This window comes from Homo sapiens, chromosome X (assembly GCF_000001405.40).
Source record: "Homo sapiens chromosome X, GRCh38.p14 Primary Assembly".
Lineage (NCBI taxonomy): Eukaryota > Metazoa > Chordata > Mammalia > Primates > Hominidae > Homo > Homo sapiens.
In genome coordinates this window covers 71,576,424-71,588,597 of record NC_000023.11, presented here as the reverse complement: position 1 = coordinate 71,588,597, position 12,174 = coordinate 71,576,424, and the positions used below count along the sequence as shown (strand labels likewise).

At 45.3% G+C, this 12,174-nt stretch overlaps 1 protein-coding gene across 1 annotated transcript in view, besides 1 other annotated feature; it reads right to left on the bottom strand.

Moving 5' to 3' along the window:
- Positions 1–10,161, bottom strand: part of GCNA (germ cell nuclear acidic peptidase) — a 35,147-nt gene extending 24,986 nt beyond the window's left edge. The window contains exons 1-2 of the mRNA NM_052957.5: positions 10,076–10,161; positions 7,718–7,778 (exon numbers count right to left, since the gene is read on the bottom strand). Coding sequence (NP_443189.1) covers positions 7,718–7,776 — 59 coding nt within the window. The 5' untranslated portion in view covers positions 7,777–7,778; positions 10,076–10,161. The remainder of the gene's footprint in view (positions 1–7,717; positions 7,779–10,075) is intronic.
- Positions 9,313–9,954: an enhancer, noted in NCBI's record as "H3K27ac-H3K4me1 hESC enhancer chrX:70798494-70799135 (GRCh37/hg19 assembly coordinates)". NCBI's record gives its function as "activates a minimal SCP1, AML or CMV promoter by ChIP-STARR-seq in naive H9 embryonic stem cells {active_cell/tissue: H9 hESC(naive)}" and the evidence as "EXISTENCE:reporter gene assay evidence [ECO:0000049][PMID:30033119]".

The following is a 12,174-nucleotide window of genomic DNA, read 5'->3' as shown; positions in this document are numbered from 1 at the left end:
GCCTTGGCCTCCCAAAGTACTGGGATTACAGACATGAGCCACCACGCCTGGCCAGATCTCTCCTTTAAAACTTTAAAAGACTATAAATCATAAAGATTATGTATGCTTTTATATGACTACAGAAAAATCTCTGGAAGAAATACTGCCAAATTATTCAAAATTATTACCTCAGAAGAATGGGAGGATGCAGGCATGTGAAGGCAGACTTTCACTTTTTAATTTATATGCTTCTGTACTGTTCATTTTCACCACAGACCTATATTCCCTTAGTAATTTTTACAACTCAATAAATATATTATAACATGATTAGGATATCTGTGGTTCATTCATTCACTAATTAGACATTTATCGAGCATCTACTATATACTTGGTACTGGGGCTACAAAAAAGAAAAAAAGAATGACTTCTAGGGATCTCACAGTCTAGTGGCAAAGACAAAAAAACAAATAGACAATATTTATGAGCCTTACTCTAGAACAACAGGAATCAGAAACTGCATTTTTGGCCGGATGCAGTGGCTCACACCTGTAATCCCAGCAATTTAGGAAGCCAAGGTGGGTGGATCCCTTGAACCCAGGAGCTCTAGACCAGCCTGGCCAACATGGCGAAACCCCATCTCTACTAAAAATACAAAAATTTTAAGAGCCAGGCATGGTGGCGCACACCTGTAACCCCAGCTACTGGGGAGGCTGAGGAACAAGAATCACTTGAACCCAGGAGACAGAGGTTGCAGTGAGTTTGCAGTGAGCTGAGATTGTGCCACTGCACTCCAGCCTGGGCGACAGAGCAAGACTGTTTAAAAAAAAAAAAAGAAATCCAAGAAACTACATTTTTAACAAGCACCCCCAGGCAATTCTGATCCAGGAAGCTGGCAGACCACACTTTCAGGAACACCAGTTAAATGTGACAGCCTTCTTTTCCTTGAAATCAGGAATTGAAAATATCAATAGAATGCTAATTAAGTAACTTTGGCATTGTCAAGAAATTTAAAACATAGCCAATCCACTAGGTGACCCATTTGCTTTTCTGATTATTTTAAATTCAGCCTAACAGGATAATTTTTAAAATATAATTTTAAATATATTTTAAATATCATATCATCAAGGCTATCTTGTAATAGTATTGACAAAACAAAGAATCTTGCTTGGGCTAAAAAAGACTAGTCAGTGGGCATCAGAGAGTACCAATTAGGCTTATCAATGAAAACCAGACCCCCACCTCTTGCATTATGCATTTCGGTACAACTTCTGCCTTTGAAGTGCCAATCCCTCCTTCCCCACCCCCTTCACTGTGTTAATGACCTTGTCTCATAAGACACTAGGATAATAGAAGCAATCAGCTAGGAACTCACTCATCCTCCCACCAAGAAATCTCCAGAACTAACTGCAACCATACTAGACTCTCCGCCTTCTCTATCACTAACAAGGGAACACAGTGTCCCTACCACTATCAAAGACCAATCCCTCCCTTGTACTTTGGACCTGTCTCCCCTAGCCTTCCCAAGGATTGTATTCCGGTAGTTCCAGCACTCTGTGCTGCATCATTCTCCCCTTTCTCCTGAATCATTCATGCTACTAGCCCTAGACTCCATGTCCCCAACTTTACATTAATAGCCTTGAGCTCTTCACTGAACTCAAACTGTCTACTTGACACCTTGGATATTTATTAAGTATTTAAAAGGTAACATGGGCCAGGCGCAGTGGCTCACACCTGTAATCCCAGCATTTTGGGAGGCTGAGGCAGGCGGATCACCTGAGGTCAGGAATTTAAGATCAGCCTGGCCAACATGGTGAAACCCCGTCTCTACTAAAAATACAAAAATTAGCCAGGTGTGGTGGCAGGTGCCTGTAATCCCAGCTACTTGGGAGGCTGAGGCTGGAAAATCGCTTGAACCCAGGAGACAGAGGTTGCAGTGAGCTGAGATCGCACCACTGCACTCAAGCCTGGGCAACAAGAGCGAAACTCTGTCTCAAAAAAAAAAAAGTAACATGGCCACATGGCCAACAACACAGAACTCTATTTTCTCCCTCAATCCTGTTCCTATCCCAGCCCTACCCATCTCAGTCAATGGCACCACCATCTACCCAGTAATGCCAAATAATTGAGGAGTCATCCTTGATTTCTTTCTTTCCCTCACCTCCCATATCCAACCCATCTGCAAGACCTGTTGGCTCCACTTCTCTAATATATTTCATCTAAGACACATTATTATATGTACCTCCTCCATGAAAGAAAAAAAACACTACCAAACTACAACCTGCCATCAAATGTATGATACATGCCAATTTCAGAAATGCAAAAATGTGAAAAGACATCTCTGAATTTATGAACTACAATATATTACATATTCATCCAAATCTCTCCAACTCCACTAGTAGCACCCTACTCTAAGCCACCATCACTTCTAGACTTTCATAATACCAAGTTCTTGGGCCTCAGTTGAAAAAAAAAAAAAAAACATTTATTTCATAGGGCTATTGTGGAAAGTAAACAAGATGCTATCTGCCCTCCTCTGTACTCCTATGGCATCATGCACATCTGCCCCTTCGCAGCGTTTATCACACTCTACTTTAACTACCTGTTTACGTGTTTCTAACCCCCACCCTAGACAGTAAGCTATGCAAGGACTTGGAAGTGTATTTGTTTCACGTTGTTCCATACAAAGTCAGGATTCAATAAGTATTTTTTAAATGAATGAATGTATGAATGAATCTCAAAATCTCAAAGTGATTCCAAAGACCCCTTCTATTATTTTCCACCCCCTAAAAAAACCTCAAGTTGTGAAAGAATTCTGCCTACTAGATCTCACTAAGTAATAATTTTCTGTGTGTAAAAATGTAATTACACATATATGCCCATCTATGTGAAGGTTCGAGGTAAAGAGTCAGCCCAAAGTAAAAAACAAGCTAACAGTCTTATCTTCGTTAGTGAAAATACAATGCTCAGATCAAGGGAAGTAGCAGTTCCAATTTGGAGCTAAGATTGGTTAGAGACTGGCAGGTTGGTGTCTGGCCTCAAGAGCTATCTCCAACCAGAAGCCTAAGATCTGCTTTTTGGACCTGTAGCTTCAGAAACTCAGGTTTATCAATTCTTCATTAAATGCTAAAGGCATGACTCCTGTCAACCAAATTCACAAGGGGCTAATAATAACACATAACCCATTTACCTCTCAGGACAACTGAGACTAACGATCCACCCTGGGCACTCCCTATTTGAGGGCAAGTGACTGAGGGTCATGGAGCTGCAATTTGACCTTTTGCTTTGTTTTTTTTTTTCTTTTTTTGAGACAGGGCTTTGCTCCCGTCGCCCAGGTGGAAGTGCAATGGCGCGATCTCAACTCACTGCAACCTCCACCTGCTGGGCTCAAGCAATTCTCCCGCCTTAACCCCCCAAGTAGCTGAGACTACAGGTGTGTGCCATTGTGCCTGGCTAATTTTTGTATTTTTTTTTGTAGAGACAGGGTTTCACCATGTTGGCCAGGCTGGTCTCAAACTCCTGGACTCAAGCCATCCGCCCACCTCAGCCTCCCAAAGTGCCGGGATTACAGGTGTGAGCCACTGGGCTCGGCCACCTTTTGCATTTTTGATCACACACATGATTCAGGAGACTGAATCAGTAATAAAAAACCTCCCAACAAAGAAAAGCCCAGGATCATATTGATTCACTGGTGAATTCTACCAAAAATTTAACGAAGAATTAACACTAATCATTTTTTTTCTTTTTTTATTTTGATATGGAGTCTCACTCTGTCACCCAGGCTGGAGTGCAGTGGTGCGATCTCGGCTCACTGCAAGCTCTGCCTCCCAGGTTCACGCCATTCTCCCGCCTCAGCCTCCCGAGTAGCTGGGACTACAGGTGCCTGCCACCACGCCCAGCTAAATTTGTTTTTGTATTTTTACTAGAGATGGAGTTTCACTGTGTTAGCCAGGATGGTCTCGATCTCCTGACCTCGTGATCCGCCCGCCTCGGCCTCCCAAAGTGCTGGGATTACAGGCGTGAGCCACCGCTCCTGACTATTAATTTAATTTTTAAATTAAATGCTATGAGGCCGGGTGCGGCAGTCACGCCTGTAATCCCAGCACTTTGGGAGGCTAAAGCAGGCAAATCGCTTGAGCCCAGGAGTTCGAGACTAGCCTGGGCAACTTGGCGGCGAAACCACATCTCTACAATAAAATACAAAAATTAGCTGGGCATGGTGGTGCATCTGTAGTCCCAGCTACTCTGAAGGCTGAGGTGGGAGGATCACTTGAGACCAGAAGGCAGAGGTTGCAGTGAGTCATGATCATGCCACTGCACTCCAGCCTGGGTGACAGAGTAATACCGTCTCAAACAAACAACAAAAAAAATTAAATACTACAAAAAGCAACTTTGGGCATTTAATTGGCTTCATAAACTGGATTTTCCTATGCTTGGTTGCCAAAAATCAAATTACTCAATCAACAGTATGTCCAGCTGCACACAGTGGCTCACACCTGTAATCCCAGCACTTTGGGAGGCCGAGGCGGGTGGATCACTTGAGGCCAGGAGTTTGAGACCAGCCTGGCCAACGTGGTGAAACCCCATCTCTACTAAAAATACAAAAAAAAAATTAGCCGGGCGTGGTGGCACATGCCTATAATCCCAGCATTTTGGGAGGCCAAGGCGGATGGATCACTTGAGGCCAGGAGTTCAAGACCAGCCTGGCCAACATGGTGAAATCCCATCTCTACTAAAAATACAAAAAAAAAAAAAAGTTAGGCGGGTGTGGTGGCATGCGCCTGTAATCCCAGCTACTCAGGAGGCTCAGGCACGAAAATTGCTTGAACCCAGGAGGCAGAGGCTGCAGTGAGCCAAGATTGCGCCACTGCACTCCAGCCTTGACAATAGAGCAAGGCTCTGTCTCAAAAAAAAAAAAAAAAAAAAAAAGAATATAATAGTATGTCCAATTTTATAGCTCTTGGTACATCTGCTTAATCATTTCCAAAGGGTTGTGTCAGTTTATGATGTCAGCAGCATTACTATGATTAAATATTTAAAATTTGCTAATAGGTAAATGATTTTTAAATTAGCATTCCTTTTTATTACTTATTAAGACGTATATTTTCCAATGTTGGCGTCATTCTTTTGCTGATCCCCTCCACACCCCCCGCTTTTTTAAACAAAAAATAGAGATGAGGTCTTGCTATGTTGCCCAGGCTGGTCTCAAACTCGTAAGTTCCAGCATTCCTCCCGCCTCAACCTCCCAAAGTGCTAGGATTACAGGCGTGAGCCACCCCACCCCCTACCCACATTTTTAATGACTATGGCAAAATAATGTTTACCAGGTCATTTTTTTTCTAACTGATAAAGAACTCTGAAAACAGCAGTGAGTGACACTCTGTCCTTGCTCTTCCCGGAGACAATGTATCTTATTTATCCTTCTAGAAAGTTAAGCGTAAGCACACATCAGAACAAGTACACACACCATTTTCTTTTTTTATTTTTATTTTTACAAATAATATTATGCTATATGCATTGTTCTGCAGCTTGCATTTTTCACTTTATATTTCTTAGTAGTCTTTTCATTATCAGTACACATAGCTCTCACCACATTTTTGCAATGAACCCTAATTTATTCAAGTAGACTCTTAGGACATTTCAGCTCTTTTCAAATTTGTGCTATTACAAACAGTGCTGCAATGAATGTTCTTGTACATATTTCTCTATGTACTGGTAATTAAATCATATATCCTTCTTCCACAAAAGTGAACAAAGACCAAAATACCCTGTAAATGTCTATATATGATTACATGAACATGGAGAAAAGTATGGAAGGCTAGCTACATAAATATTTAGCATGGGTTACAGGGAGAAAGGCCATGGGAGAAGGGGAAAAGAAAGTCAAGAAAAAATAAGACTGAATTACAATTACTGAATTACATGTATGATATAATCACATTTATGCACTCATGTATATGGGAGTACAAGTATAAAGAAATTAAATGAGTTTAAAAGAAAAAGTCTCAGTAGTGGAACTGCTACTTCAAAGGACATAGGCATTTAAAATGTGATACTGCCAGACTGCCCTCCAAAAAGGTTGTACCAAATATATACTCCCACAAAGAATGTAGGAGATTTTCTGTTTTCCTATCAATTGGCAACACTGGGTATCATCAAACTTTTTGCAAATATATAAAAAATGGTATCTCATTTTAAAATTTATCATTTCTTTACTTTTCCAAGTGGGAGAAAAAAAAAATAAATGAATAAGATTTATCATTCCTTTAATGAGAAGTAATATAATTAAAACTTATCACTTATTTAATGAGAAGCAATATAATTAAAAGCTGATTTTTTTTTTTTTTTTTTGGAGAGAGGGTCTCGGGTTGCAGAGGCTGGAGTGCAGTGGCGCAATCTCGGCTCACTGCTGCCTCGACTTCCCGGGCTCAGGTGATTCTCCCACCTGAACCTCCCGAGTAGCTGGGACTATAGGTGCAGCCGCCGTGCCCAGCTAATTTTTTTATTTTTTGTAGAGGCGGAATTTCATCATCTTGCTCAGGCTGGTCTCAGGACTCAAGCGATCCGCCCACCTCTGCCTCCCAAAGTGTGCCCGGCCAAAGCTGAAAATTTTAATGTCTGAGGTCCGTTTGTATTTTTTTTTTTCCCAGAGAGCTACCTTCTAATATTCTTTGTCATGTTCCATGCGTTTGTTCACCTTTTTCTAAATTACTGATTTATAAAAAGCTTTTTGTTAAGGAAAATAGCCCTTTATATTTGTAACACAAATATTTTTCCAGTTTATTTACCATATTTATGTTTTGTTTGATATCAAACTTAGACCTTTCTACTCCAAAAACTATTGGAAACAAAATCCATCTATTGTTTTCTAACATTTTAATGGTTTCATTTTTTATTTTAAAATATTTGATCCATGTGTAATCTATTTTGGCATAAGCAATAAGGCAAAAACCCAAGTCTCATTTTTTTCCAAATGGTTAGCCAGTTATCCTCAAATGGTTTGTTGACTAATCCATATTTTTCCCCATTGATTTGAAATGCTGAAATGTCGTTTTTCTTGTTTAGTAAATTTTCTTATGTACTTAGGTCTATTTCCAGACTTTCTGTTGGTTTGTACCTTCCCCCATATCATACCCTTGCATGCATATCTGTGAGGGAGGAAAATAGGGTAGTGTTCCAGAAGAGAAAAAACTTAGAGACAGGCAGCTATCTTAAAAATAGCTCCTGATCACATCACTGCACTCCAACCCGGGCGACAGAGCAGACCCTGTCTCTCACACGCACAAAAAAAATACCTCATGTTGGAAGTTCTCTGAACCTTTATTGGTTCAGGGCGCATCTCCATAAAAAAATTTAAAACAAAAACACCTTGTGTTATCATGGAGAAGAAAAATACTTGTGTACCTCTAGAGGCAGCACTATCGATACTGGCGTGGAACAACAGGTTTTAATTGCATCAGAATGAAGAACTTTCTAGAAACCACATATATTCAACGATGCACTGTTGCCTCAAATGTCGTCATTTCCTGGCCACTAACAAAGAAATTATATAGCGGATTCAAGAATTTCATAGGAGGCTGGACTCCTAGTTTGTAAAATCCTTCTTTACAATTCTCATTTTATAACAAACCAAGTTATACGCTCTACAGATACTAAAGGAAATAAACATACTTCTCGAGAAAGCTGTTTTGCCAATACGGTAACACTAAACTAAAAGAAAACAGAACTTTCTAAATCTCACCAATCCTCGTCCTCCTCCGGCTCTTGCAAGCGGGGCAGCTCTTTTTTGCACCCATCCATGTCTGTAGTGAAAGACAAAGATACACTTTCTTAAGAAAGCCAGAACTCGGCCGGGCGCAGTGGCTCACGCCTATAATCCCAGCACTTTGGGAGGCCGAGGCGGGCAGATCACAATGTCATGAGATCGAGACCATCCTGGCTAACACGGTGAAACCCTATCTCTATTAAAAATACAAAAAATTAGCCAGGCGTGGTGGCGGGCGCCTGTAGTCCCAGCTACTCGAGAGGCTGAGGCAGGAAAATGGCGTGAACCCGGGAGGCAGAGCTTGCAGTGAGCCGAGATTGTGCCACTGCACTCCAGCCTGGGCCACAGAGCTAGACTCCATCTCAAAAAAGAAAAAGAAAAAGAAAATAAAATAAAAAGAAAAAAAAAAGAAAGCCAGAACTCAAAAGCAGAGACATCTCTACATTTACATTCTGCATTTATCTTTGGGTATCTTCCCCACCTTAAAGCCGAAACTTTGCTCTGCAAAATGAAAAGGATTTAAATTTGTTTTGTTGCAAACTTTTCCCACTCAGGCCTCTACCACCCCAATCTCTTCCCACCCTGCACCCGCCCCCACTTCCCACTCCCTCCACTCCCACCTCAACTTGCCAGTCTTCCACGTATCAGGGCTCGACCGCCCCCACATCCCACTGGCCCTCCACCTCCCTACAACCTTCAGTCCCCCTACTCCTGCCCCAAGGAAGTCTCCCACCTACCGGGTGTCAACCTCTCCCCCTTCCCCTACCTCTTTACTCCCCACTCTGTCAATCTTACCCAGAATAGGCTACCACCGCCCCCTCATCACCTTCTTCCTTCTGTCCAACCTCCACTGCCCCCTTACCTCCCGCCACTCTGGCTTCTCACTGGTCTTATATGAATCCGGCCACCCCCTCCACGCTTCCTATTCCTGCCTCCAGCCTCTAGCCAATCTTCGACCAAACAGGCCTTGACCCCTCCCCAACTCCTTCCTCCTATCAGGTCTGGACCCTACCCCCACCATTCTCACCTCAGTCTTCCACCAATCAGGCCTCAACCCCACCACCCTTCCCCCACACTCGCACCTCCAACCACCTCCAGCCACCTTCAACTGCTCCCAACCGGTTTTCCAAGCAGGCTTCCACTCCCCCACACTTCTATCCAACTTCTGCCCTACCCCACTCCTGTCTCCCACCACCACTCAGTCCTCAGCCAAAGAGACCTCAACCCCCACACACACACCCCTACCCACAACCACTAGCTCCCACCTCCCCCCAATGCTGCAACGGGCACCCCCACTTCTCCCCACAGCCACTGGCACCCCCACCTCCAATGCCACCACCAGCATCCTCACTTCTCCCCACGCCCACCAGCACCACCACGTGCTCCTAGGCCACTTCCACCACCACCAAGTGTTCCTACGCCGCCACCAGAACCCCCCACTTCCCTCAACGCCCCCATTGGCACCCCCACCTTCAATGCGGCCACCGGCGCCTCCACTTCTCCCCACACCGCCAGCGCTACTATGTGCTCCTATGCCACCAACGCCACCAAGTACTCCTAGGCCGCAACTGGCACCCCCACCTCCCCCCACGCTGCCACTGGCATCCCTACTTCTCCCCACCCGCCACTAGGGACACCACCTGTTCCTACACCACCACTGGGGCCCCCACCTCCCCCCAGTGCCGCAACCAGCGCCCTCACTTCTCCCCGCGCCGCCACCGGCGCCACGTATTCCTACATAGCCACTGGCGCCACCACACGCTCCTACGCCACCACCAGCGCTCCCACTTCCCCCAAGGCCGCCAATGGTGCCCCTACTTCTCCCCACACCGTCACTGGTGCTACCACATGCTCCTACACCACCACCAGCACCCCCACTTCCCCGACACTGCCACAGGCACCCCCACTTCCCCCAACGCCGCCACTGGTGCCCCTACTTCTCTCCACCCGCCACTGGCACCAACACCTCCTTCTACGCCACCACCAGGCCCCCCACTATCTGCAATGACGCCACCAGCGCCCCTTCTCCCCACGCCGCCACTGGCACTACCAGCTGCTCCTACGCCGCCACCGGCGCCCCCACCCCTCCCAATGCCGCCACTGGCGCCACCATATGTTTCCTACACCACCATGGGCGCCCCCACCTCCCCCAATGCTACCACTGGCGCCTCCACTTCTCCCCTCGCTGCCACTTCCTCTACTCCCACCTCAGGCCTACACGGGCAACCAGAGTCCAAGGTATACAGTGGTCCTGATTTTAATTAAGTCACTCAATTAGGATTAACCTCTGGACCACTTCAGCACCCATCTCAGTCCGACCAGCCGGTCACCTACCTGGTGTTGCAGCCTCTGGCGTGGCCGGCAGCAGCTCACCTCCAACTGCCCGTGGAGTGTGTGCAAAGATCCGGAGCAACTGCGATGAACAACGCCAGGCGCAGGCCCCTTTATAGTGCCCGGACCTAGGGGGCGGTAGCAGTAATTCACGTGTGCTCGCCCGCGCTCCCCTGTACCCACCTATCACAGTGGTCACAAGACAAATTTGAACTTCGCGCCTGTGAACTTGGCGCCTAGCTGTAACGCTTCCGGGATCAGGTCTGTCGCTTTCCACTCCCACGGATGTTGCTTATTTGTCCCAAAACCGCCATTTCAATACTAGAGCGTGGGCACCCGAGGCCAATTCTGCGATTAAAAGTCCCTAACAACTTTCTGATAAAGAGAAACCATGTGAAATCGTTCATAACAAACTTTTATCCTGCGAGAACTTGGATAAGCGAGCCTTGTTCCTTACTTGAATTGTCCAGACCTCTAAGTCCGTTATTGCAACCACTGGGAAAGGGCGCGGGGGGAGGGGCGGGGGCACGAGAACTGGAGCGAAGGCGCGGGAGCAGGGGCGTGGACGGGAACACCGAGGGGAGGGCGGGGCGCGGGGGGACGCGGGAGCGCAGGGGGGCGGGGGTTGCAGGGAAGGCCATCTAGACCCCTAGATAAGAGCAAGGCAGCAACTCAACAGCGCCTGGCAACGGCGAACTATGATGTTTACTTCCAGAACCCTCCAAACCCTGGAGATAAAAAAAGGTTACTTGAGGCTTTTTGGCACTCACTCCATACACACCAAGAAAAACAAACGGGGAAAACAGCGCTTTCTAGATTGTGCCAGTTTCTCCAGCGAGCATCTATATATTTCGTAATGTATGCCTTTGGGTAACAGAACACACATAAAATGTCCCTGCGTTTGATACTATTTTGTGCTAAGCATTATTCCAAGTGTCTTACGACTTAATTCATACAACACTTTAAAAAGTAGGCAACTGTTAGCACTCTCATTTTAGAGATCACACAGCTAGAAAGTGGCAGAGCTGGCCGGGCACAGTGGCTCACGCCTGTAACCCCAGCACTTTGGGAGGCTGAGGCGGGTGGATCACGAAGTCAGGAGCTTGAGACCAGCCTGGTCAACATGGTGAAACCCCGTCTCTACTAAAGATAAAAAAAAAAAAATAGCCGCGTGTGGTGGCCCGCGCCTGTAATCCCAGCTACTCGGGAGGCTGAGGCAGGAGAATCGCTGGAACCTGGGAGGCGGAGGTTGCAGTGAGCCGAGATCGTGCCATTGCACTCCAGCATGGGGACAGGGCGAGACTCCATCTCAAAAAAAAAAAAAAAAGTGGCAGAGCTGAGATTCAAACTCCAACTCTAGTTCCAAAACCTGCTCTTAAGCACCAGATTGCCTACCTAAATACAGATACTTTCTCAGTTGATAAAAAAATTGGATAAAGGGGGCTGATTACTCTCTCTCTCTACAATGAAGTTGCAAATTAACCTCTACAAGCCTCTTTATAAGAATGGGGATTACATAACTGTGCCTCAGAGGCTTGGGCAAAGAACCAGGATGTTAGCTATAATTGAGAGGCATATGCTTCAAGTAAAAGAATGGGATAGGTTTGGAATCAAATCTTAAAATGGGCAGTTCAGAAATTACACACATTTACTCAAGGTGTGCAAGCAACTCCTTTAGATTGAAGGCAGGAGGAGCTGAAGTAGACTGGAAATAATGTAGATTTTTCAAGAGAAGCGAATGGGAGTAAAAACTTTTGAGTAGGCTTTCTTCCCATAATAATCTTTTAGGAAACAAACACCAATCCACATGAGGGCTTTAAGAAGTTGGGAATTAAATCATGCAAAATTTTACTGAAAAAAATCTTCCCTCTCATATCTGAGAAAACTGGCAAACAGCATTTGCCATGATATCAATTCATGATATCAATCATGAATTGATATCTTCCTCCCTGATGCTTGTGGCAGAGTTCGACCACTATACAGAGCAGGAAGGAAAATAATTTTGCCCCCAAGAGCCAAGAAAAGAATGGTCCACATGAAAACCGAGACTACAAGGGTAAATGAAAGCAGAGAGGTCACAAGCAAAAGAGGAGCAAGCATGA